General features: G+C 40.8%; 1 protein-coding gene across 11 annotated transcripts in view, besides 9 other annotated features; it reads left to right on the top strand.

Annotated features, from left to right (window-relative positions):
* Nucleotides 3,973-4,062: an enhancer, noted in NCBI's record as "active region_24754". NCBI's record gives its function as "activates an Ori minimal core promoter by ATAC-STARR-seq in GM12878 lymphoblastoid cells {active_cell/tissue: GM12878}" and the evidence as "EXISTENCE:reporter gene assay evidence [ECO:0000049][PMID:35858748]".
* Nucleotides 5,062-5,731: a silencer, noted in NCBI's record as "silent region_17338". NCBI's record gives its function as "represses an Ori minimal core promoter by ATAC-STARR-seq in GM12878 lymphoblastoid cells {active_cell/tissue: GM12878}" and the evidence as "EXISTENCE:reporter gene assay evidence [ECO:0000049][PMID:35858748]".
* The window catches only part of SLC17A5 (solute carrier family 17 member 5), a 60,614-nt gene continuing 39,552 nt past the window's right edge, over nt 5,177-26,238 (top strand). For 5 of the 11 annotated variants that reach the window (NM_001382634.1, NM_001382630.1, NM_012434.5 and 2 more), the window contains exons 1-6: nt 5,177-5,376; nt 14,566-14,762; nt 17,245-17,478; nt 20,670-20,757; nt 22,462-22,548; nt 23,669-23,787. In NM_001382634.1, coding sequence (NP_001369563.1) covers nt 5,283-5,376; nt 14,566-14,762; nt 17,245-17,478; nt 20,670-20,757; nt 22,462-22,548; nt 23,669-23,787 — 819 coding nt within the window. In that variant the 5' untranslated portion in view covers nt 5,177-5,282. Of the gene's footprint in view, nt 5,377-13,859; nt 13,881-14,565; nt 14,763-17,244; nt 17,479-20,669; nt 20,758-22,461; nt 22,549-23,668; nt 23,788-26,238 lie in introns of those variants that run through there. The other 6 variants (NM_001382631.1, NM_001382635.1, NM_001382629.1 and 3 more) reach the window with 6 other exon arrangements.
* Nucleotides 14,320-14,489: an enhancer, noted in NCBI's record as "experimental_94418 CRE fragment used in MPRA reporter constructs". NCBI's record gives its function as "activates a minimal promoter by MPRAs in K562 erythroleukemia cells, with activity observed for both the introgressed and non-introgressed 6:74354488 variant alleles {active_cell/tissue: K562}" and the evidence as "EXISTENCE:reporter gene assay evidence [ECO:0000049][PMID:34662402]".
* Nucleotides 15,453-15,622: an enhancer, noted in NCBI's record as "experimental_94416 CRE fragment used in MPRA reporter constructs". NCBI's record gives its function as "activates a minimal promoter by MPRAs in K562 erythroleukemia cells, with activity observed for both the introgressed and non-introgressed 6:74353355 variant alleles {active_cell/tissue: K562}" and the evidence as "EXISTENCE:reporter gene assay evidence [ECO:0000049][PMID:34662402]".
* Nucleotides 16,232-16,401: an enhancer, noted in NCBI's record as "experimental_94414 CRE fragment used in MPRA reporter constructs". NCBI's record gives its function as "activates a minimal promoter by MPRAs in K562 erythroleukemia cells, with activity observed for both the introgressed and non-introgressed 6:74352576 variant alleles {active_cell/tissue: K562}" and the evidence as "EXISTENCE:reporter gene assay evidence [ECO:0000049][PMID:34662402]".
* Nucleotides 16,731-16,900: an enhancer, noted in NCBI's record as "experimental_94413 CRE fragment used in MPRA reporter constructs". NCBI's record gives its function as "activates a minimal promoter by MPRAs in K562 erythroleukemia cells, with activity observed for both the introgressed and non-introgressed 6:74352077 variant alleles {active_cell/tissue: K562}" and the evidence as "EXISTENCE:reporter gene assay evidence [ECO:0000049][PMID:34662402]".
* Nucleotides 17,139-17,308: an enhancer, noted in NCBI's record as "experimental_94412 CRE fragment used in MPRA reporter constructs". NCBI's record gives its function as "activates a minimal promoter by MPRAs in K562 erythroleukemia cells, with activity observed for both the introgressed and non-introgressed 6:74351669 variant alleles {active_cell/tissue: K562}" and the evidence as "EXISTENCE:reporter gene assay evidence [ECO:0000049][PMID:34662402]".
* Nucleotides 18,703-18,872: an enhancer, noted in NCBI's record as "experimental_94411 CRE fragment used in MPRA reporter constructs". NCBI's record gives its function as "activates a minimal promoter by MPRAs in K562 erythroleukemia cells, with activity observed for both the introgressed and non-introgressed 6:74350105 variant alleles {active_cell/tissue: K562}" and the evidence as "EXISTENCE:reporter gene assay evidence [ECO:0000049][PMID:34662402]".
* Nucleotides 22,079-22,248: an enhancer, noted in NCBI's record as "experimental_94408 CRE fragment used in MPRA reporter constructs". NCBI's record gives its function as "activates a minimal promoter by MPRAs in K562 erythroleukemia cells, with activity observed for the introgressed 6:74346729 variant allele {active_cell/tissue: K562}" and the evidence as "EXISTENCE:reporter gene assay evidence [ECO:0000049][PMID:34662402]".

Here is a 26,238-nt window from a genome sequence, read left to right as displayed (position 1 = left end):
TTGAGCACTTGAAATGTGGCTGGTCCTAATGGAGATGTGCTGTAGGTATAAAATACACACTGGGTTTCAAAATTTAGTACCAGGCCGGACCTGGTGGCTCACGCCTGTAATCCCAGCACTTTGGGAGGCCGAGTCAGGCAGATAGCCTGAAGTCAGGAGTTCGAGACCAGCCTGGTCAACATGGTGAAACCCTGTCTCTACTAAAAATACAAAAATTAGCCAGGTGTGGTGGTGGGTGCCTGTGATCCCAGCTACTCAGGAGGCTGAGGCAGGAAAATTGTTTGAACCCGGGAGGTGGAGGTTGCAGTGAGCCAAGATCACACCATTTCACTCCAGCCTGGGTGACAGAGCGAGACTCCGTCTCAAAAAAATAGAATAAAATAAAAAATAAAAAAAAAATTAGTACCAACAAAAGAGCTTATCTCATTAATCATTTTATATTGATTACATGTTGAACTGATATATCGGATTAAAAATGCATGTCATACAATTAATTTCCCCATTTTTGTTTTGCTTTGTTTTACTTTTTTAATGTGGCTACTAGAAAATTTAAAATTACATCTATGGTTTGCATTATATTTCTACTGAACAGTGCTAGTCTAAAGTGTTGATAAAGGAAAAGTATCAACTAAAGAATAAATATGAGGCCGGGCGCAGTGGCTCATGCCTATAATCCCACCACTGTGGGAGGCCAAGGCGGGCGGACTACCTGAGGTCAGGAGTTTGAGACCAGCCTGGCCAACATGGCAAAACCCCGTCTCTACTAAAAATACAAAAATTAGCCGGGCGTGGTGGCACATGCCTATAGTCCCAGCTACTCGGGAGGCTGAGGCAGGAGAACTGCTTGAACCTGGGAGGTGGAGGTTCCACTGAGCCAAGATCGTGCCACTGCACTCCAGCCTGGGCAACAAGAGCGAAACTCCATAAAAAAAAAAAGAAAGAAAGAGAGAGAGAGAGAGAGACAGAAAGAAAGAGAGAGAGAGAAAGAAAGAAAGAGAGAGAGAGACAGAAAGAAAAAGAAAGAAAGAAAGAAAGAGAAAGAAAGAAAGAAAAGAAAAGAAAAAGGAAGAAATTGCAAGGAGAAAACATAAAGACATGTGAGAGATGTCTACGGTATGTGAGGTCTGAACATGAATGGATCCAGATTCAAACAAACCATGTAAGAAAAAAAAAAAAAAAAGACCAGGAAAGGAGAAAAAAAAAATAGGCTGGGCATGGTGGCTCACGCCTGTAATCCCAACACTTTGGGAGGCCGAGATGGTTGGATCACCGGAGGTCAGGAGTTCAAGACCAGCCTGGCCAACATGGTGAAATCCTATCTCTACTAAAAATACAAAAAATTAGCCGGGCATGGTGGTGGGCGCCTGTAATCCCAGCTACTCCGGAGGCTAAGGCAGGAGAATCGCTTGAACCCAGGAGGTTGCAGTGAACTGAGATTGCACCACTGCACTCCAGCCTGAGCAACAAGAGTGAAACTCTGTCTCAAAATAATAATAATAATAAATAAATAACACCAACAATGATCTTTTATGGTAGTGTGCAATCAGGAAATAAATGCCAGATATAAGGGGGAAAAAATGTGTCATCATACTTTTTTTTAATCTTCTTGGGGCCAGGCACAGTGGTTCACACCTATCATATCAATACTTTGGAAGGTCAAGGCAGGAGGACTGCTTGAGCCCAGCCTGGGCGTCACAGGGAGGCCCTGTCTCTAACAAAAATGTTTTTAAATTAGCAGGGCGTGGTGGCACATGCCTGTGGTCTCAGCTACCAGGGAGGCTGAGGTAGGAGGATCACTTGAGCCCAGGAGGTGGAGCCTACAGGGAGCCGTGATCACACCTCTGCACTCAAGCTTAGGTGACAGAGTAAGATCCTGTCTCAAAATCTTCTTGGGAAGATTATAAAAACAAAAACCAAAGTACCTCCTCTGAACCTAGAATCAATGACACTGCAATAGGAAGAAGTACACCCAATGCTCAGATGTTAGTTTGTAATATCATTCTCCTTATAGAAATGGCAGGGGTAGAGAATACACAAGATGAGCCTGGAACATCTTGTTGTACCAGAAAGTAAGGGAATGCTCAAAAAACACAACAATGGAGGCATGCAAGACACAAGAGCCAACTGAAAGAGCTCTTAGTCACCAAAGCTGGAACAATTTGAGCAACAAAATAAATAACATAGTGTTGGGAGTATAACCCAAAGTATAAAATAATAACCATGACATCATACTAATAAAAATAAATGATTGAATAAGTAAATAAATGTAGGAGAATAAACAAATCTCCCAAACAAAAGAATTCTTCCCCTGAAACTGGTGGAGTATAGATAACTCCCCACCCCTTAAGTGAAGGCTGCACATACTGATTTCCTTCCAAAGAGAAAAGTAAGGCCGGGGGAAAAGAGTTAACTTCACAGTGAAAACACCTGACAAACACAACCTCAGGCATGCAATGAGGCTTACCATCACTACTGATAAACATCAGTGATAAATAAGTTGACAGCACATTCCCTTGACATTACATGATGAGAATGGCCCTTTACCTCTATGACCTTTCCCTCAAAAATCCATAACCCCAGTCTAATTATAAGAAAAACATTCAGGCCGGGGGTGGTGGTTCATGCCTGTAATCCCAGCACTTTGGGAGGCTGAGGCAGGTGGAGGCTGAGGCAGGAGGTCAGGAGATGGAGACCATCCTGGCTAACATGGTGAAACCCCATCTCTACTAAAAATACAAAAAATTAGCCGGGCGTGGTGGCATGCACCTATAGTCCCAGCTACTCGGGACGTTGAGGCAGGAGAATCGCTTGAACCTGGGAGGTGGAGGCTGCAGTGAGCCGAGATCGTGCCACTGCACTCTAGCCTGGACGACAGAGCGTGACCTCGTCTCAAAAAAAAATTCGACAACCCAAATTAAGACACTTTCTACAAAACCTACCAGTACTCTACAAAACTGTCAAGGTCAGCAAAAGCAATGAAAGTCAGGAACTGTCGATCTAGAGGAGCCTAAGGAGACATGTAATGTGGCATCCTGGATGAGATCCTGGGACCGAAAAAGGATATTAGGTAAAAATTAAAGAAACGCAAATTAAGTATGAACTTCAGTTAATAATTATCTATACTGGCTCGTTAGTTATGATATATGCATGATACTAATGTAAGATCTTAATAATAGGTCAAACTAAGCAAAGGGTATGGAGAACTCACTGTACTATCTTTGCAACGTTTATGTAAACCTAAAATTTCTAAAATAAAAAATATTAAAAAAAAGAATTCCTCTGGTTTGAAGTCTTTCAAGTCTGTTGCAACTATATTCCCTGGCCCAAGTTATCTATAACCTTGGTCATCTGGGAGCTTGTTAGCAATACAGAATCTCAGGCACATCCCAGATGTACTGGGCTTCTCAGAGAAACAGCCCCAATTGGGTAGTTTGGGTAATAAAGTTTTGGCTTTCACAATATAGGCTGGCCAACTCGACCCAAAACAGATGATGGTGCACATGCCTGGAGACCCAGGAGGACCTGTGGTGCAGATGAAGTCTGAGGACACTCTGCTGGAGAAGTCTCCCTTGCTTGGGCAAGAGAAGTGGGGGAGTCGGATTTTTTATTCTAGATAGGCCTTCAACTGATTGAAGGAAGCCCACCCAGATTATGGAAGGCAGCCATCTTTACCCAGAGTTCAATGATTTTAGTGTTAACCTCATCCAAAGACAACCAGCAAGTTAACACATAAAATTAACCATCACACCAGATCTGCTGAATCTGAATCTACATTTTAAAAGGATTTGCCAGGTGACTCTGCATAATCCAGTTTGAAAATTGCATTTTTCTACAACCCTTAGAGAGTGTAAAAATCTACATGGTAATTCAGTAACTCAGAAACAAGGCTTGATTTGCTGCTTTAACTTGAGAACTTTTCTAGCATTTACTGATCTGGAGGTAGGGATGCCTACAGAAATCCTCGCCCTCCCTTCTAGGTAAAGGACCCTCCCCTTTGTTCTCACGTGAACCTCACTAAGCTTCTAACCTGGTTTACTGAATTAGTGGCTTGTGGGTCTTCCCTGTCTACACCAAACTCTCCGAGAGCATCTACATCTTATTTTCTACCTCCACAGAGACAGCCTTTATTGGCGGATCCAGATCTGCCCTGCCAAGGCAAGCTGGGTTTTCCTAGTTTCACTTTCAGAGTCCGCAAATGCTAGCACAATCTATCCAAATTCTATCGTGGAGATAAAGCATGCACACATACATCAGAGGATTCCATAGGTCGAACCATATGAAACTACCTATGTTGATTACTTTTACCTATAAAACCAGCAACATCATAGGACTCAACAAATTTCCATTGCTGTTTTTCCGCCTAAAAGCTATTTTAGGACCAGGAGCAGTGGCTCACGCCTGTAATCCCAGCACTTTGGGAGGCCGAGGAGGATTGCTTGAGCCCAGGAGTTCGAAACCAGCTTGGGCAATATAATAAGACCAAGCCTCTACAAAAATAAAAAGTAGAAACAAAATTAGCCAGATGTGGTGGCATGCTCCTGTAGTCCCAGCTACTTGGGGGAGCTGAAGAGAATCGCTTGAGTCCAGGAGTTGGAGGTTGCAGTGAGCTGCGATTGCGCCACTGCATTCCAGCTTGGGCAACAGAGCAAGACCCTGCCTGGGAGAAAAAAAAAAAAAAAAAAAAGCTATTTTAGGGACAATATGCCGCCACAGTCACGAGGTAAATATGCCGCCACAGTCACGAGGTAGATCGTACAAAGGTTGCTAACAGTATGGCAACTGACCGCTAACAAGCGAATGTCAAGTTGTGAAATGCACACCACCCACTTCCCTAGTTCGGTCGAAGCCCTCCCCTTAATTATGTGCAATTCAAGTCCCCACTGCCCGCCCGCAAGCCCCCACTCATCCTCGCTGCGGGCAGGGTGGCCCCTGCACTTTACAAGGGGGTGCAGGAGCGGGAGACGGTCGTCCGAACACCGGCTCCCCGGCATGCGTAGACCGGCGGGCGGAGCGGGCTCACTTTGCGCCAATCCTACGAGAACTCCCAGAACTCCGCTTCCCTAGTCCAACCCAAGCCAGAGTTGCCCACACCTAAGATGGCGGCGGGGGCGGAGTCGGCGCGGCCGCCTCTGGGCGGGACCGCGGGGACTAGACGTGGCCGCGGGGCGGTGTCATCGCCCCCGCCCCGCCCGGTCCAGCCAGCTCGGCCCGGGGGCTTCGGGCTGTCGGGCCGGCGCTCCCTTCTCTGCCAGGTGGCGAGTACACCTGCTCACGTAGGCGTCATGAGGTCTCCGGTTCGAGACCTGGCCCGGAACGATGGCGAGGAGAGCACGGACCGCACGCCTCTTCTACCGGGCGCCCCACGGGCCGAAGCCGGTAAGCGGCGGGGTCGTCCAGGGGCTTCGAGTGGGCAGCGGTACCGGGGGCGGCGGTCTCTGGGCCGGCATGGCCCGGGTACCCGCACCCTGCGCCGGCGGGACCGGAGCTGCTCAGGCGCGAGGGGACATTAAGAGGGGAGCCCGTTCAGAGTGCCGCTCAGTCCCGCCTGCCTCGGTGCGCAGAAGCCCCTCGGGAACCCCGGGGGCCGCGACCGTGATCGCGGAGCCGAGCCGGGGCCTCGGCAGGTGCAGCCCCACCGGGCGGGGGCGGGGGCGGGGGCGGGGGCGGGGGAGCGGCGGTGCAGCCGGCGCTGAGCTGGTGGTTATTTTGGGTAGTGCTGAGCAAGGGACCCAGTGGAAGAACGAACTGGGAGAGAATCATCAAATGAATGGGCTAAGGTCCGAGCGGAGGACCCCGGTGTAAGAGCAAACTGGAGGAGAAACCTGCAGATCAGTAGGCAGAGGGCTGTCCTTCCCTGTCACCGCTAGGTTTCCGCCACTGCGTATCCGCCAGCATGTGACCTGGTAGCTTCTTAGGCGGGGAGGGAAGACAAAAAAGGACTGGAGTTAACATTTGTGAGTATGCAGAGGGCAACTATTGTATAACCCAGCTGATATCTTGACATTGTGCAGTAAGAGACTAAAAACATCGAGGACATTTTTTTTCCGTCTGGCAGTCTATGATTTAAGTTAGGAAAAGGTTCAGTTATCCTCAAGATACCTATGGAGTTCTAAAGTAATTTGCCAAAGGTCTTGGAACAAATCGAAAAGCAGGTACGTCATAAAGCATCTTCCCTGAATTTGAGAAAATTAAAATATTTTGCTATTTGACACTTTTGTAATATAGTTTATTTAAAAGTAACGAAAACTAAAGAACAAATCAGTTTGAATGCATTCTATAGTTTCAAAGATCTGTGCGTGAGAAAGAGTTGTGTTGGAAATTTGACTTTGGCTAACCCAGAATTGTATAGTTTCTATATTTTTATTTGTTTTTAATGTTACCAGATGGTGGCAGTAGAGGTGGCAACCTTATAGCTCCATCTGGCAGCCGGGAGCTTATTTTAGTCAACACAAACTGTAAATACCATACCATAGTTACGTTTTACCTGGAAGTCGGACTTAGTTCCATAAACTGATCATTTTCTGTGGCTTGTAGTGTTCAAATTGTATAATATTCCTCATAAAATAATATAGAAATACAGAAATAAAAGTTATAATAAAGATATTTGCCAGAGATTATTACATTGTTACAATTGAAAAATATGTATATGTATAATCAAAATTTAGCACAAATGTTAAACATTATTCTCAGGAAAATGCAGATTAAAATTACAACGAGGCACTATACACCCACTAGAATAGCTAAAATCCAAAAGGCTGATAATACCAAATGTTAGCAGAGATGTGGATAGAAAAGTTATACATCTCAATAAAGATTGAGATGGACAAATGTATACATTTATCACGTAAATTATACTTCAATAAAGTTGATTTTTAAAAAAGTAGCTTATAGCATCCCTTTTAAAAACAATCCCTACTTGATTCATGTGTTGAGTGTATGGATCTTATGGTACTGGCCCTGTCCTTCCTGGCTTTAGGTGGCTACGTTTGTTACAACCATTTCCTTTTTTATTTTCCCTCTTTACATACCCACTGGAGAGCAAGTGAAGTGGAAATAATAGTAACATACTGTTTTTGCTATTTAGAATATGATAAGTTTTATAGAGAAGGAGCATATATGGCAATTAAGAGAAGTATATAATGAGCCCCCATGTAACCAGCACCCAGATTAAAGTTATCAATTCATGGCCAGTCTTGCCTTATGCTCATACATACTGTGTATTTTGAAGCAAATCCCAGATACCATGTCATTTCATATGTAAATATTTCAATTATTTACCTCTAAAAGATAAGGACTCTTTTTAACATAACTACAGTACTATTATCACAGCAAATAAAAATAATGCTTACTCACTTTGGGAGGCCGAGGCGGGCGGATCACCTGAGGTCAGCAGACCGAGACCATCCCGGCTAACAAGGTGAAACGCCTGAAACGCCGTCCCTACTAAAAATACAAAAAATTAGCCGGGTGTGGTGGCGGGTGCCTGTAGTCCCAGCTATTCGGGAGGCTGAGGCAGGAGAATGGCGTGAACCTGGGAGGCGGAGCTTGCAGTGAGCCGAGATCACGCCCCTGCACTCCAGCCTGGGTGACAAGAGCAAGACTTCGTCTCAAAAAATAATAATAATAAAATAATAATAATACTTACAAAATACTCAGTGTTCATATTTCCTCAATTATGTCCTGATTTTTTTTTTTTTTTTTTTTTTTTGAGACGGAGTTTTGCTCTGTCGCCCAGGCTGGAGTGCAGTGGTGCGATCTCGGCTCACTGCAGCCTCAGCCTCCCCGGTTCAAGTGATTCTCCTGCCTCAGCCTCCCGAGTAGCTGGGATTACAGGCCTACGCCACCACACCCAGCTAATTTTTGTATTTTTAGTAGAGACGGAGTTTCACCATGTTGGCAAGGCTGGTCTCTAACTTCTGACCTCAGGTGATCCACCCGCCTTGGCCTCCCAAAGTGCTGGGATTACAGGCCTGAGCCACCGGGCCGGGCCTATGTCCTAATTTTTTATAGTGTGTTCAAATCAGGATCTCAATAATGTCCATACCTTCCAAATGATTGAAATGTTTTTTGTCTCTTTTAATCTGTTTCCCCTGCCCCGCTCCTTTTCTTTTCCCTGCAATTTTATATCCTTATGTTGTCCTTTAACATCTTCTGCCCTCCTGATTTACTGTAAATTGGTAATTAGTAGATCTGAAGATTTGATAGGATTATGAGTCTGTCTGTCTTAATTACCGTCATGACTATTCCATAAGTAGAATACAAGTGTAGAAAGTAGAATTGTGTCAGCATGCTAATTCTCCCATACACGGCTCTAGACACTGGAGATACAAAGAAGTAAACAAAACAGAACAAAAGCTCCTGCCCTTATAGACTTTTATATTCTAGTGTATATTTTCCTAAACTTTCAGCCCTCTCCATTTTGCTTTCTTCTTGGGTTACAATCAAAGTCCAACACTTTATTTTCTTTTTTTTTTTTTTCAGGATCTCACTCTGTTGCCCAGGCTAGAATGCAGTGGCTCAAACAGGTCTTACTGCAGCCTCAACCTCCCAGGCTCAAGTGACCCTCCTACCTAAGCTTCCTGAAGAACTGGGACTGCAGGCATGTGCCACCACACCTGGCTAATTTTTTTCTTTTTCTTTTTTTTTTTTTTTTTTTTTTTTGAGACGGAGTCTTGCTCTTTCGCCCAGGCTGGACTGCAGTCGCGCTATCTCGGCTCACTGCATGCTCCGCCTCCCGGGTTCATGCCATTCTCCTGCCTCAGCCTCCGAGTAGCTGGGACTACAGGCACCCGCCACCACGCCCGGCTAATTTTTTCTATTTTTAGTTCAGAAGGGGTTTCACCGTGTTAGCCAGGATGGTCTCGATCTCCTGACCACGTGATCCACCTGCCTCGGCCTCCCAGAGTGCTGGGATTACAGGCGTGAGCCACCGTGCCCGGCCTTTTTTTCTTTCTTTTTTTTTTTTTTTTTTGTAGAAAAAAGGTCTCACTTAGTTGCTCAGGCTGGTCTCAAACTCCTGGGCTCAAGTGATCCTCCTGCGTCAGCCTCCCAAAGTGCTAGGATTACAGGCGTGAGCCACAGCACCCAGCCCAACACTTTATTTTCTTGCCAATACTCTCGATTCCCTTGCCCCCTTCTTTGTCATCACATCCATCTCGGTGCCAGCTATCTGCTTTCTTAGTGCCTACTCCTGAGCACAGGCATGCAGTGCTTATGAAGTTACACACTAGGGCAGATTGTTCCCACCAATTCTGTATGGGTATCTGCTCAGCATTCCTGTGTTTCACTGAGAACCTCATGCCCCCACTCTCTTCAACAATTTCTTACTTTTCCCAGATCCCAATTTCTCACAAATGAGAACTAACCTCAATTCCTAAGAAATAACCTCAATTCCTAATTTCCAGAAAAAAAAACCCATAATAATTCACAGTTATTCTGTGCCAAGCACTCTTCTAAGTATTTTACATTACTAACTCAGTGAATCCTTATAATAACCCTAATTCAGGCAAAATACTTCGACTAGTGCCAAGCGTATAGAAAATGCTTAGTAATATTTGTTTTTTGAGACAAGAGTCTTATTCTGTTGCCCAGGCTGAAGTGCAGTGGCACAATCACAGCTCACTGCAGCCTAAACTTCCCAGACTCAAGCCATCCTCCCACCTCAGCCTCCCAGGTAGCTGGGATTACAGGTGCACAACACCACAACCAGCTAATTTTGAAATTTTTTGTAGAGATGGGGTTTCATCATGTTGCCCAGGCTGGTCTTGAACTCCTGGGCTCAAGCAATCCTTCCCCATCTCAGCTTCCCAAAGTGCTGGGATTACGAGTGTGAGCCACCATGCCCGGCTTGTAATAAATATTATCTATTATTGTCTAGGCATGGTGGCTTATGCCTGTAATCCCAATGCTTTGGGATGCCAAGGTGGGCGGATTGCCTGAGGTCAGGAGTTTGAGACCAGCCTGGCTAACATGGTGAAATCCTGTCTCTACCAAAAATACAAAAATTAGCTGGGTGTGGTGATGCATGCCTGTAGTCCCAGCTACTCGGGAGGCTGAGGCAGGAGAATTGCTTGAACCTGGAAGATGGAGGTTGCAGTGAGCTGAGATTGTGCCACTGCACTCCAGCCTGGGAGACAGAGAAAGACTCCATCTCCAAAAAAAAAAAAAATTATATATTATTTTATGTTATTAAACTTAATACCCACTATCCCACTCAATAGTGTTAGTTCTTAGAGTTACTACAATACATAATCTAGATACTGCAGATCATTTAGAATGTCCTGCTCTCCCTATGTTTATCTGTCTCATTTCCATACCTCTGTACATGCTGCTGCTTTTGCTTGGATTGTTCCATCTGTCCCTACTGGTGACTTCCTGCTCCTTGAAGAGACTTCTCCAAGAGGCCTTCTCTGACTGTCTCCACTGTCCCCTCCATCAGATTAATGTGCCTCTTTTGTTCCTTTTTATATATACGTACATAGTACTTTGTCTTATTGGCATAACTTTCTCCAGATAAAAAGGAGGAAGAAATCCTTTTTACTAAGTGCCTGCTATAATGTCTTGCAGTATTTCATTTAATCCCCATGCAGCCCAGTGGGTAGATGGTGGTCTCTACATATTATAGCTAAGAAACCTGAGAATGAAAACTAGTAAGTAATTTCTACAAAAGCACACAGCCAGTGAAAAATCAGAAACAGATTCATTCCCAGGTCCCACTCTAAATTAGCCTGTGTACTTTCAGTTACACCCACACACATTCCTAAGTTTAAAACACATTTTAGAAGCTGATGTTTGTTTTTGATGGGTGCCATGTTCCTTATGCAAGCATGATTTTGCTTTGAACTTGATGCTCAATGGATGTTCTCTCTCTTGGTCATGCAAGCATGCTTTTGTTGGATCAATTTCAAAGAATATTCACATTCCCAGGCATGTTTTTCTTTACTGCTATACCTTCTTGAAATAAAAATTTTCTGATTGAATATATTTGTAATCAGCAACCATTTTATTAGCTAGTAATTGTTTATTTTTAATATTTCTTAGAATCTCATAGTAATATACTTTGTGACACCTGAGTTGGCTTTTTATTTTCTTTTTTTTTTGAGACGAAGTCTCGCTCTTGTCCCCCAGGCTGGAGTGCGATGGCGTGATCTCGGCTCACTGCAACCTCCACCTCCCAGGTTCAAGCGAGTCTCCTGCCTCAACCTCCCGAGTAGCTGGGATTACAAGTGCCTGCCACCACGCCCGGCTAATTTTTGTATTTTTAGTAGAGACGGGGTTTCACCTTGTTGGCCAGGCTGGTCTACAAACTCCTGACCTCAGGTGATCCACCCGCTTCGTCCTCCCAAAGTGCTGGGATTACAGGCGTGAGCCACCGTGCCTGGCCGCTTTTTATTTTCTAATTACTGACTATGCATCCAAAAGTTAAAGTTGCCTGATCTATAACTTGTAGGTCAGATTTCCAAGTAATACCACGAGTAATTTGAAATCATTTTACTTACCTTTCTTTCATTTCTCAACATTCTAGCCCCTTGTAATTCACATGATAAGGTATATCATAGTCCCAATAAAGCATCACTTAGGGAAAACTAATAATGTACAGTAAAATAAGATAACTGCAAATAAGGATAGAATGAAGTAATAACATTACAAATTACAGTAGCATAAAATAGAGTTTTTTAGAGTAAGAGAATTACTAATAACTTCATCCCTCCCCTTCACTTACTCCCACATCTAACATTTGGGCAAGGCCTGTTAATTCTGCCTTTAAACATCTCAGATCTGCCCATTTTTCTTCACTGCTGCTTTCACTGTAGTTTAAGCCACCTTCATCTCTTAGCTGGAAAGCTACAGTAGTCCTTTAAGTGATCTCCCTGACTGTACATTCCTTACACCCTTCACACTTCTCCTTTCTATAGTCTCCATGCAGGGTCCAGATGAGCTCTTTAAACCATCAACCAGATAAGCTTTTTAAACCATAAATCACATCTCATCACTCCTTTGCTGAAATAGGTAATGATCTTTTTAAATGCTGCATTGACAAAACAGACATAGTACATAAATCTGGGTTTTTCTTGCTCCAAATTGCTCAAAGTAACACATTTTAATGCACACATTTAGCTAGATTTTTGAGTCCCCCATCCAGACTTCTAGGTAATATCACCTGACACAGAGCAATGATAAAGAAAACATGTTCTGCTGGGCACAGTGGCTCACGTCTATAATTCCAGTGCTTTGGGAGGCTGAGATGGGAGGATTGCTTGAGGCCAAAAGTTCAAGACCAGCCTGGGCAAAATAGTGAGACCCCGACTCTACAAGTAAAAATTTAAAAATTAGTCAGATATGCTGCCATATGCCTTTAGTCCCAGCTACTCAAGAGGCTGAGGTGAGAGGATCACTTGAGTCCAGGGGTTCGAGGTTACAGAAAGTTATGATCACCCACTGTACTCCAGCTTGGGCAACAGAGCAAGACCCTGTCTCTAAAAAAAAAAAGAAAGAAAAAAGAAAATGTGTTTTTTTACAAAACATGCCTCACAATATCCAAACCGTCATTAACTGGACAACTGCCCATTTGGTTGCAGCAGAAAGCAAATTCGCCTAGATTCTAGTAATAGAGACAATGTGAATAGAACTTTAGAAATTCAGTTCTTACAGATCTGGATCTAACTATGGTAGTGGTACCATAAATTTCATAGCTGTACCCCTGAAGAAAGGATTTAAGAATGCCAAATGAAAAGTTTCCTGTTAAAAGAAGTTAATCTTACACAGGGAAAAAAAAATAATAGCAGTTGTTAAACATAGGAGGGCATACAGAAAAGTGAGTTGGATCATAATATATTAATATAAACCTAAGTATAGTTGTGCATATTCATTAATGTTTCAGTCTAAATCAGTTCATCTGAGCCAGTATCAAGACTTTTGTATTCTGTAAAATATATTCTCTCCTTTGATGCTAGGTTAATGAAAACACCAGGATTCTTAAGTAGGGGAAAAACATACACACATTTATATGATGTTGATGTGTCATTACCAAATAAAAGCACACATATTTTCATTTAATTTTAATATGTCATTGCTTAATGAAATACATGTTTATATCTTTAAAGAGGTATTTATCAGCCACTCAGAGTTTACTAAACTTAAAGATGTTCAGACTCTGGATTAGCTAATTTCTCTTTGTTACTAAGAGGTTGATTATCCTTAGTCAGCATCCTGAATCCTATCCCTCTCCAATTCTGCAACTCAATAAAAGAAGAAAAAAGAGAAACTATGCATAAGCCCACAGTTAGAGTAATAAATAGGTCAAACTCCTCCTCTCACATGATCCTTTTATTGGTTCCTCCAACCTACTCTGCATTCTTTTTTTTTTTTTTTTTTTTTTTGAGACGGAGTCTCTGTCTCTGTCGCCCAGGCTGGAGTGCAGTGGCGCGATCTCCTCTCGCTGCAAGCTCCGCCTCCCGGGTTCACGCCATTCTCCTGCCTCAGCCTCCCGAGTAGCTGGGACTACAGGCGCCCGCGACCACGCCCGGCTAATTTTTTGTATTTTTAGTAGAGACGGGGTTTCACCGAGTTAGCCAGGATGGTCTCGATCTCCTGACCTCAGGTGATCCGCCCGCCTCGGCTTCCCAAAGTGCTGGGATTACAGGCGTGAGCCACTGTGCCCGGCATCCTTTTTTTTTAATCATGGTGGTACATTCACTGATTTCCCTTTTTACTGTGAGCCCTTTACGCTTGATAACTACTGAGCAACTGTCACAGATGCTGCAACTGTCATAGGTTCTGCAAGTTTGCTTCTAGATTCTTAAATGCATTTAGTTTACGATGGCTTTAAGTATTAATCATGGCTTCTGATTCAAACCCAGCCTTTGAGGATACTCTTCGAGGTAAGAAATTTATCAAGAGAAATTTCATGCCCTACCCTTGGCAGTAAATTTTTTTTGCTATGCTACATTTAACAATGAGATGGCTACTAACTCATAATCAGTAATATATCATGTCATTGTAAGTACTCAAGTACTTATTGACCATGTTTCAGATAGTTTTTCAGAAATAGTAATGCCATTAAACCTCCTTACCTGCTTTTCTCATGCCGTATATCTTTGCCAGCTGACAAGGAGTAGGGGTTCAGTTTGAATCTGGAATAGATCTTTTTCTCAGCAAAGGTGATAAAACTACTACCTCCATGTTTTAATGAACTTTTTTATAGTTCAGGCTCTCATGTGTGAAATTTTTACCAAAACTACAGATATGAGAAACAGCTAATCTTTGACAAATGTTTCTTAGATTTGCTTAATCTAAGAATATTCTTTAACATTTTTTCATAATTATTTTTGTACTTTTAAAAAGCAACCTTTTTCATTATTTAGACAATATCATGTAATTAACTTTTTTAATTAAAGCAGCCGGGTATGGTGGCCAATGCCTATAATCACAGCACTTTGGGAGGCTGAGGTGGGTGGATGGCTTGAGCCCAGGAGTTCAAGACCAGCCTAAGCAACATGGCAAAACCCTGTCTCTAAAAATAAAAATTTAAAAATAAATAAAAATTTTCCCCAATCTTTATTTCAGCTCCAGTGTGCTGCTCTGCTCGTTACAACTTAGCAATTTTGGCCTTTTTTGGTTTCTTCATTGTGTATGCATTACGTGTGAATCTGAGTGTTGCGTTAGTGGATATGGTAGATTCAAATACAACTTTAGAAGATAATAGAACTTCCAAGGCGTGTCCAGAGCATTCTGCTCCCATAAAAGTTCATCATAATCAAACGGTAGGTGCTATTTTTTAAGGAAACAATTTTAATTATCCTAAAATACTTGCAAGTAAAAATATTAAAAGGTCTTTTTTCATCCTACAGAAACTATACTTTGTTTGTGTATACTCTGAATCACTTTCTTTTTGTGTTTTCCCAGGAACTGATTGGGCAATAACTTGTAACTATAGCTACTACTGCTATGCCGTAATACACCTTCATCTGTTTGAAAAGTAGTTCTTCCATTCCCTCTATAAACATACCATGCTTAAAGAAAATTTGGAAAAACCTGTTTTATATAACAGAAAATTAAACTGTTTTAAATTTTCTAAATAGCTTTTATAGGAGTATTATTTATAACCCTATATCACTTATAGAGTTACAGCTGCAAGAGAGTTTAGGTAATCTCAGTTGCAAGATGAAAAACAAGAACTGGCCAGTTTCTTAGGACATTCTTTTCTGAATGTACACATGCCCAACCTAAGCCACATAAGTCATTTTGCCTGCCTTATGTTATAGTGGTATTAATAAATGTGTATTCATCATTTGTTTATAATTAAGTTATATATACTTCATTTTATGTTGCTTATCACACGAGGAGATAGTACAGAAAGAAAAGCTAGTATTCTTTTTAGAAGTACATTTGCAGGCTGGGTGCAGTGACTCATGCCTGTAATCCCAGCACTTTAGGAGGCTGAGGCAGGTGGATCACCTGAGGTGAGTAGTTCGAGACCAGCCTGGCCAACACGGTGAAACCCTGTCTTTACTAAAAATACAAAAATTAGCTGGGCGTGGTAGCACACACCTATAATCCCAGCTACTCAGGAGGCTGAGGCAGGAGAATTGCTTGAACCTGGGAGGTGGAGTTTGCAGTGAGCCGAGATCACGCCATTCCACTCCAGCCTGGGCAACAAGAGCAAGACTTCGTCTCAAAAAAATAAATAAATAAAAAATAATAAATTTTTGGCCGGGCGCGGTGGCTCACACCTGTAATCCCAGCACTTTGGGAGGCCGAGGCACATGGATCACGAGGTCAGGAGATCAAGACCATCCTGGCTAACATGGTGAAACCCCATCTCTACTGAAAATACAAAAAATTAGACGGGCGAGGTGGTGGGCGCCTGTGGTCCCAGCTACTCGGGAGGCTGAAGCGGGGGAATGGTGTGAACCCCAAGGGGTGGAGCCTGCAGTGAGCCGAGATCGCGCCACTGCACTCCAGCCTGGGCCACAGCGAGATTCCGTCTCAAAAAAAAAATTTAAAAATAAATAAATAAATAAATAAATAAATTTTCACCCATTTTCAGTGCTCACGAAGATACTAGTTCATACTTAGATGAATCTCCTCTATCATTCACAAGCAGAGCATTCAAGCAGGAAAGAGGGTTTCTCTCTAAACAAAATAAATCTCTCCGAAAATCTTTATATTTGACTTTAATAATGTTGCTGAGTAACATTTGGGTACACATCACTCACTTTCTCCACTCCAACCTGTGACCTTCAGGGACAATACTGCTGGAATGTACATGAAATCCTAGAATTCCACAGATAAACTGCAAATTGGTACCCTAAATAAGGAAAAGTAAGAGTTTGCTTTGTGTCTTTTTCTTTGCAAAGTGCTTTTGTTGACCCTGCTACTTATCTTCATCTGCCTTATATCAGCAGTAGAAAGAAATCCCGGAATGGTTCTTGACATGTTGGCTTTGTTATACAGCTACACTGCATTAAAAATGTCAGATACTCAGATCAGTCACTAAATCTTCATTAGTACCTTGCTGTGTGCTGTTACTAATGAAAACACAGGTTCTATTCACATGAAGTTTGTGGCTTGATTTAAATTCTTGCTCTTTGGAATTGTTCCATGTGCTTGTTTAAGTGCTTCGTCTGAAATGGGGAGATATTATTAATATCTACATTTATGCATGTTAATAGCCAGCACTAAGTGAACACTAACTGTACATCAAGCCTTATTTTATGTGCCTATTTCATTTCCTCTTCCCAGATCACACATTCGGTAAGTAATAGAGCTAGGATTAAAACCAAGCCTGGTTCCCAAAGCCTAGCTCAGCCACTACAGTTTTCTGCTTAATAGCTTTCTGGATTAAGCCTGTGACTCTTTTTTTGGGAGGGGGAGGCAGGGCCGGGGGGGCGGCAGCCTCCCGAGCCATAGTAGGCTCAGAGATACCCAAGCCTTTTTTGTGATTCTTTTGTGAGCCTTCTTGGTCATAGTTATTATAAAGCTTCTGGCAGCTCATCCTGCAGTCTAGTTTTATAAAATTGCAAGCCTTCTTGAAGTTTACGACTGTCAGTTCTTTTTCATTCACTTCTAAATACTGTATATCTATATTGTTATGACTCACCCACCTACTAGAAAGTTTGCATGTTCTTCAGTCCAAAATAGTGGTTCAAAATCTCATTTATATGTACTTACATGCCAGTAAGAGAAAAGAGCTGCTCTGTGAAGGTCTTAAAGGATTGTTTTATTCTTTTCTGATTTTTGTAGGGTAAGAAGTACCAATGGGATGCAGAAACTCAAGGATGGATTCTCGGTTCCTTTTTTTATGGCTACATCATCACACAGATTCCTGGAGGATATGTTGCCAGCAAAATAGGGGGGAAAATGCTGCTAGGATTTGGGATCCTTGGCACTGCTGTCCTCACCCTGTTCACTCCCATTGCTGCAGATTTAGGAGTTGGACCACTCATTGTACTCAGAGCACTAGAAGGACTAGGAGAGGTAATTTTCTTTTCTCTCTTGTTTTACTTCTTACCGTGTGTCTCCTTCTCTTCTTCTTAAAGATGTCATTCTTTGGTATGAATATGAACCAAAAAATAACGTTGGATGATAACAGGGGTTTATTTTTTAGAGAAAGGACTAACTAGAAAATTACCTGAATAGATTTTGTTTGTGGTAAATGAGGTCTCTAGTAGGAGCACCCCGAAATTGGAACCTTTACTCAAAAACCAGAGAAAACTTTTTTCCAAAAGAGACTTCATAGCTCATACTTTAGGAGAGAAGAAAATAAACCATTAATAAATGGTTAAGATAGTCCGGGCGTGGTGGCTCATGCCTGTAATCCCAGCATTTTGGGAGGCCAAGGTAGGTGGATCACTTGAGGTTAGGAGTTTGAGACCAGCCTGGCCAACAGGTGAAACCCCATCTCTACTAAAAATACAAAAATTAGCCGGGCATGGTGGTGCACACCTGTAATTGCAGCTACTCGGGAGGATGAAGTGGGAGAACTGCTTGAACCCGGGAGGCAGAGGTTGCAGTGAGCCAAGATCGCGCCACTGCACTCCAGCCTGGACGACAGCAAGTCTCCATCTCAAAAGAAAAAAAAATGGTTAAGATTGACCATCCTTACCTCTTGTGCTCTTGCCACCGTTAAACTCTGCTCTATCATTGATGCCCAAGTCTGAAGCACATTTTACACAATAGACTGTTGAGTTGCATTTAATTTCTTTTTTATCGCTTATTCTTTTATTTTTTCTGGTCTTGTAACTTAGAGACAAATATTTTATGATTTTATATAACTATCTCAATTTAGTTCTATGATTCTGCTCTTTTTAGAAGTATTATTGATTTTTGCCTCTTTTATTTCCCTCCTCTTAATAGTTTTATCATTTTTTAAAATTTTGATTCTTGTCTTTCTTTTCCTTCCCACTTTTCTTTTGTATTTCATCATGTGTACCCCCATACTTAATAATTTTCACTTTTCCTTTATAACTTCGAACTTCTACCTCTGAAATCCAGGGAATGGTGTATTTTGCTCTCTTGCATTTCTTTAATTCAAGCAAGATAATGGCCACTGGGCTTGGTGTAGAGGATGAAGATTATTTTAAGTAGCAGTGTATCATGCTGTTGGAATGAACACTGGACCAGAGTTTGAATAATAGCTCTATTGTATCTAACAGTGAAACCTTAGGTAAGCTCTAATCTCTAGATCTCAGTCCCATCATTTTTTAAACTGGGACTAAAATACCTTCCCTGTTTTCAGTCACAGATTAGATATAAAATTCATATGTGATAAGGATTGCTAGAATACTTTGGAAATTGCCAGGTACTATTAAAAGATTTTTCATTCATCTGAATGTTTTTATTTTGTTCTTATCAGTAGAGGTCCATTAAGTAAACCCTTCCTGATCACAAAATTAAAATTACTCCTCTATTACCAGGTTCCTGTTCTTCTTGACAAAGTAAAATATACTTAAATCTAGCATATTTTCTCTGATCCTAGTATTCAATCTCCTTGCTGAATGTATTCCCATATTTTACTTCCAGTTTATGCCACTAATTTAACATTACGGCATATTGATCATATTACCACTGTTATCTCAGGTGACATTTTATTTATTCATTTATTTATTTTTTTCTAGTCTTTGAGACGGAGTCTCACTCTGTTGCCCAGGCTGGAGTGCAGTGGCATGATCTCGGCTCACTGCAACCTCCGCTTCCTGAGTTCAAGCAATTCTCCTTCCTCAGCCTCCCAAGTAGGTGGGATTACAGGCATGCGCCACCATGCCTGGCTAATTTTTGTATATTTAGTAGAGGCGGGGTTTCACCATGTTGGCCAGGCTGGTCTCGAACTTCTGGCATCAAGTGATCCACCTGCCTCCGCCTCCCAAAGTGCTGGGATTACAGGCATGAGCCACCGTGTCCAGCCAACAACTAAATAGAATTTAAGTTGTATTTATACTCAGGTTCTCTCGTCCTTCTTCATCCCTTCAATATGTATCACAGGTGCATTTCCTCATTCATAAAGGACACTTAGATTACTATCTTGCATTCCTACCATCTGATTCACCATAAATATACCTACATTGTCCCTAGGTTTTATAATAAAGTTTTCTACAACATAATCTCTGTGGGCATTTCCAAACATCTCAAGTTTTCTTCTATAATGACTCATCCTGTGGATGCTCCATCATATAGATTCTTATTGATTTGCAATGTACCTAAATCATCTTTGCCTTCCATTGGTATTACTTTTTTTTAATTCCTTTTGTTTTTGTTTTTGAAAGAGTCAGCGGAAAGTACAAAGTATTAAAACATTTATTCTTCTCTCCACTAATAATAGCACTAGTTACCATTTATCTTTACAACAATTATGCAACCGCCTTGAAGTTCAGGGAGGTTAACTAATCTTTCTGAAGTGACACAGAGAGTGTCCAAGGAGAGCCGTTCTCTCTCACTGTCCTGTGGTATCTCCTCATTTACCCAGTCTCTATGAAACTCCCTGTTTCCACATCCTGTTAGCTCTCCGTGTCAGTAATTGGCATCTACTAGGCTTGTTATCACAGGAAAAAAAAGAAGAAAGGCTGTAAACATGCTAATTGAATTCATCCTTTTTTTAATAGGACTGTTTTTCTGGTTGATTGTCAGCTTGAATTTTTTTTCAGTATCCCAAAATATTAGCTCAGTATTTTTTAAAGTTATAAGTTAGTAATATTCCCTTTCATTCAGGTGATTAATAAAGTGAATGAGTAAAATTAACCTTGAGCAAGATCCCTTTATGTCCTCACTCAGTACAATTATTTTAGATTTATTGTAACCCTTATCTTGTTGTCTTAAAACCAGTTCCAAAATCCATGAATCTTTGGGGAGTTTTACTTTTTTTTTTTAAGAGATGGTGTCTCACTACGTTACCCAGGCTGATCTCGAACTCCTGGGCTCAAGCAATCCTCCTGCCTTGGCCTCCCAAAGTGCTGGGATTACAGGCATGAGCCACCACACCCAGCCTCAAATTCTGAAAGTACTTCATTATAAGATATTTTCACTTAACACTGTAAAAATTTCTCATTTCATGGAACCTGATTCGTTTGATTCTTATCCAGAAAATGCTTTTGTAGCAAAATACTTAACTTACTTTAAAGCATTAACAAAACTACCTTACATTTCATCAGAAATATCATGTTCCCTTCTCTCAGGGTGTTACATTTCCAGCCATGCATGCCATGTGGTCTTCTTGGGCTCCCCCTCTTGAAAGAAGCAAACTTCTTAGCATTTCATATGCAGGTGAGATAACAATTACCAAATTTTGCTGTAATATGTTATGTATATATCAACCTTTGGGAAAAAGGGCCTGCATACCAGAACGATGCAATGTTGGATTGGATGCCCCTTTGGGGAGAACATTAAGTTTCGGTAGTATAACTTTATTACCAATTTTTCTCTTTGGCTCAACAACTTATAGTAATGCAGCTTAATTGACTAATGTCATTTTCCCCATCTGCCATCATCTATTTCAAAGTATGTTGTGTTTTCAGATATTGGTATAGAGATGCTATTTTTTTTCTTTTTCTGTTTACTTTTTTGGGGGTTTTAAATTTTATTTTTGTTTGTTTAGAGATGCTATTTAAAAAAAAGAAAAAAAAAGGCCAGTAGCTAGAAAATTGAGTGTTTTTGTCCTTAAATTGTGATTTCTGTTTTGATTAACTAATGAATGTATCATGATTCTCAACCCCTCTCTTCATGCATCTTTTTTCTATTGCATCTTTATTTGCCATCATTTTGATCTACAGGTGAGATAACATGAGTTTTATATATGTGAATTATAATTTTATCAGATTGCATAAGAAATTCTAGCCTTTCTTTCATTGACTAAATTAAAATTTTTCCACCGGACTGCTTTTTAAATACAGTAGTTGAGAAAAGGCCTCTCTGTGGTACTTTTAAGCTAAAATCTGAAGGATAAGAACAAACCATTCATGCAGGGAGAAGAGCATTTCAGCCAATCAGAACAGCATGTACGAGGGCACTCAGGCAAGAAATAACATAAGGGTTAAAAGAAGTGGAAAACTACCTTGGATGGCTAGAACTCAGTGAGTAAGGAGGATGATGGCATAAGATGAGGTTAGAGAAAGAGATAAGAGCCGGGTTATATCAGGTCTTACAGGCTACAGGAAAAAATGTAGATTGTTTTTTAAGAGGCATGATTCAATTACATTTTAAGAAGATTATTCTTGCAGCTATGTTGAGATTGACATGAGAAATCTGATGATAGGTTCAAGAACAGGTACTATCTAAGGTTCCCTTTTACCTATTGAATAAATCCCAAACTCCTTGAACTAGGGGCAAGATTCTTTACAGTCTTCACTACTTTGTTGCAGCTAGCCTTATATCTCTGGCAGATAGTGCCTAGCATGGAGTAGGTACTCAGTAACTGTTCAACTGTCCAACCTATTTTTCCAGCTTTATCTGCTTTTCCTTTCCTTTACCCAAATGAAGTTCCCAAGCCTACTCTCTGCTTTACTACTTCCATTCCTTTGCTTGTCCTGTTATACTACCTCTATATCTTTTTTCTAATCTTGTTTCTATGGGACCACATTTTAGCCTTTTTTTTTTTTTTGAGCCAGGGTCTCACTCCAGGCTGGAAGGCAGTGGCACAATCGCCCCTCACTGCAGCCTCAACAGCTGAAGCGATCGTCCCACCTCAACCTCCCAAGTAGCTAAGTAGCTGGTACTACAGGCGTGCATCACCACCATACCCAGATAATTTTTGTATTTTTAGTACAGATAGGAGTTTGCCATATTGCCCAGGCTGGTCTCAAACTCCTAGGCTCAGGTGATCCACCCACATCAGCCTCCCAAAGTGCAGGGATTACAGGAATGAGCCACTGTGCCCAGCCTGTTACCCATCCTCTGTAAGCAGTAGACTTGTCTGTCCTATCCTTGTTTCTCTCTCCAAAGTTTATAAAATAGTCTTATGTGTTGTTCTAGGAGCACAGCTTGGGACAGTAATTTCTCTTCCTCTTTCTGGAATAATTTGCTACTATATGAATTGGACTTATGTCTTCTACTTTTTTGGTAAGTTTAAAATTTTAACTAAATTATAATGTAACAAATTCAAAATGTAATAATAGTAGCCTAATAATGTTTTAAAAATATATCTTCCAAATCACTGAACCACAGTTCTGAAACACTTCCTGATAACCTGTTTTTCAAGTTGGTATGATTTACTTGACCTATTTGAGTTACGAGCTGATGTTAGTTTTGGAATATTTCTCAGTAGAAATGACTGTTGATCCTGTACTTAAATAGTACATTTGCTATCAAAAAATCACTATCTTAGGTATTTTGAATTTCTTCTCAAGCAAAGTAGGATGTTCTCACTTGGTAGTTTTAATGTTTTTTTTTTTTTTTTCTTTTTACTTAGTCCCAAGGCATTTTATTGCTCAATTTCCTTGGCAGCATGATACACATTTTTAATAAATTAGATTTTCACATAGACATGTCATGCAAGAAATATATCTGCAATCAAAATTTAAAACTCAACTAACAAAAACAGACACCTTTGGAAATATGTAGATTGTGGAAATGTATCTTCAAAAAGATTTGTCTGGTAGACCCTGATAGGCAAAGTCATGTGGTTAAAAGTTGTTTTCTTCTGGCTGGGTGCAGTGGCTCACACCTGTAATCCCAGCACTTTGGGAGGCCGAGGCGGGTGGATCACGAGGTCAGGAGTTCAAGACCAGCCTGGCCAACATGGTGGAACCCCATCTCTACTCAAAATACAAAAATTAGCCAGGCGTGGTGGCACGTGCCTGTAGTCCCAGCTACTCAGGAGGCTGAGACAGTAGAGTTGCTTGAACCCAGCAGGCGGAGGTTGCAGTGAGCCGAGATCACGTCACTGCACTCCAGCCTGTGAGACAGAGCAAGACTCTATCTCAAAAAAAAAAAAAAAAGTTGTTTTCTTCAAAATGTATAAGCAATAATACAGTTATAGCAATTATCCCATTAAAGAATTGAGAGAAACTTGAAATTGAATCCAAACTGAAGTCAGTTTTACATTGAATTTATAGTTACATAATTTTTTCAAGACATGTAAAAATTGTTGTTGGTGCTTTCTAATTTTGTGTTTTTGTTTTGTTTTGTTTGTTATTTGGTACATTCTAATTTTATCTAACTATTATTTTTCTATTTTAAGGTACTATTGGAATATTTTGGTTTCTTTTGTGGATCTGGTTAGTTAGTGACACACCACAAAAACACAAGAGAATTTCCCATTATGAAAAGGAATACATTCTTTCATCATTAAGAAATCAGGTATGGACTTTGACACATTTTAAAAATAATGTCAGAAACTTTTTTTCTTCAGAATTAAGATATCAGTTTTTAAAAATATATATTCCTATTGTGCATGCTCTAGACAAAGTAGAATAGGCAAATGAAATGAACATCCAAAGTATTGTCTGGCTGGGTGCAGTGGCTCACACTTGTAATCCCAGTCCTTTGGGGAGGTCTAGGTGGGAGGATCATTTGAGGTCAGGAGACTAGCCTAGTCAACATAGTGAGACCCTTTCTCTACAAAACATTTAAAATATTTAAAAAAAAATTTTAAATACATAAATATGAACAAAGTATTGTCTGAAGAATTTCAGTTCTTTCATTTTTTATAGAAAGTATAGTTTTATAAACTATAAAAAATATTTTTAAGTCATTTTAAAACCTTTTAGTGTAGTGATTATCAAATGAGTCTTAAGTTTGTTTTTTCCACTTGATTAGTAGAAAATAAAATGTGTTATTCATGAAAGGATTCTCATTCTGACCATTAGTTGTTAGAAAACCAACTAGTGTGTTTATACAGTTGTACATCCCAAATCTGAAAATTCTAAATCCAAAATACTCTGAAATCCAAAAGTTTTTGAGAACCCACATGATGCTCAAAGGAAATGCTCATTGGAGCATTTCAGAGTTCAGATTTTTGGATTTTAAGATTTAGGATGCTTGGCCAGCCTGATGGCTCACTCCTGTAATCCCAGCACTTTGGGAGGCTGAGGCAGGCGGATCGCCTGAGGTCAGGAGTTCGAGATCAGCCCGGCCAACATGACAAAACCCCATCTCTGCTAAAAATACAAAAATTAGCTGGGCATGGTGGCACACACCTGTAGTCCCAGCTACTCGGGAGGCTGAGACAGGAGAATTCCTTGAACCCAGGAGGCAGAGGTTGCAGTGAGCTGAGATCGTGCCACTGCACTCCAGCCTGGGTGACAGAGCAAGACTCCATCTCGAAAAGAAAAACAAGATTTAGGATGCTTAATTGGGAAGGTACGTGATACAAATATTCTAAAATCCAGAATCCAAAACACTTCTGGTTCCAAGCATTTCAGACAAGGGATATTGGACCTGTATCTATATTTTAAATGAGTGTCATTAAAGAAAGAGAACAGCACATTTATTATGATATAATATTATAATATGATATACATCTGTTTGCTCTTCTAGAGTAGGTCTTTAGAAAAAAGTTTATATCTTATTAAAACCAGATTTCAATCACTTAATCGAGCACAAAGGCAAATCACAAATAAAAATCTATAATAATTCAATATACTAAATTCTCAAACCATGGAAACAAAATGTTTGCCTTTTGAGTAGAATAAAAGAAGAACATAAAAACATTAGGAAAGATTAAAATATACACAGTTTGTTTTCAGCATTCTTGTTGGCTTCAAAGTCACTTTATTAGTTTAAGAACATAAAATATTTAAGACTTTTCCTATTAAATTGTCATGATTGATATTTTATTTTATTTTATTTATTTTTTTTTTTAGACGGAGTTTCGCTCTCTCACCCAGGCTGGAGTGTAGTGGCACAATCTCAGCTCACTGCAACCTCTATCTCCCTGGTTCAAGCAATTCTCCTGCCTCAGCCTCCTGAGTTGCTGGGATTACAGGTGCATGCCACCACTCCCAGCTAATTTTTTGTATTTTTAGTAGAGACGGGATTTCACCTTATTGGCCAGGCTGGTCTCGAACTCCTGGCCTCAAGCGATCCTCCCACCTTGGCCTCCCAAAGTGCTGGGATTACAGGCATGAACCACTGTGCCTAGCCCAAGATTGATATTTTAAATATTTATATACAATATAACCAGGCAGTAAAATTAAAAACTTAGTCTTGGCTGGGCATGGTGATTTACGCCTGTAATCCCAGCACTTTGGGAGGCTAAGGCAGGCAGTTTTCTTGAGCCCTGGAGTTCAAGACCAGCCTGGACAACATAGCGAGACCCCATCTCTAAAAAGAAGGAAAAATGTACTCTTTAACATTTCTTTTTAAGTTTTTTATTTTGCTATAAATGTCTCTACAAGCAGCTGAACTTTAAGAATTATGACCTGTCTTGATCTTTGCCAAAGATTGGCAAAAACTTAGAAACAGAAGAAATCAGCACTGTAATAAAGTTTTAACCAGGTGGAGAGCTCATATCCAAGGTTACTTGGGTCTGAGTCTTCCCAGCAAAAAAAAAAAAAAAAAAAATTAATACAAGTAAAAAAGAAAGTTTTAGCTGGGTATGGTGGCACACAAGTGCAGTTCCAGCTCCTCAGGAGGCTGAGGCAAGGGGACTGCTTAAGTCCAGCAGGTCAAGGTTGCAGTGAACTATGATCAGCCATTGCACTCCAACCTGGGCAACAGAGCAAGACCATGTCTCAAATAAATAAGTTAAGTTACTTTGAAAGTTTAGAGTCCTACCTGATGTTAATTGAGTTACCCACTTTTTTCCCC

This window comes from Homo sapiens, chromosome 6 (assembly GCF_000001405.40).
Source record: "Homo sapiens chromosome 6, GRCh38.p14 Primary Assembly".
Lineage (NCBI taxonomy): Eukaryota > Metazoa > Chordata > Mammalia > Primates > Hominidae > Homo > Homo sapiens.
Note: the sequence above shows the minus strand (reverse complement) of the source record. Positions and strands in the feature narration are given on the sequence as shown.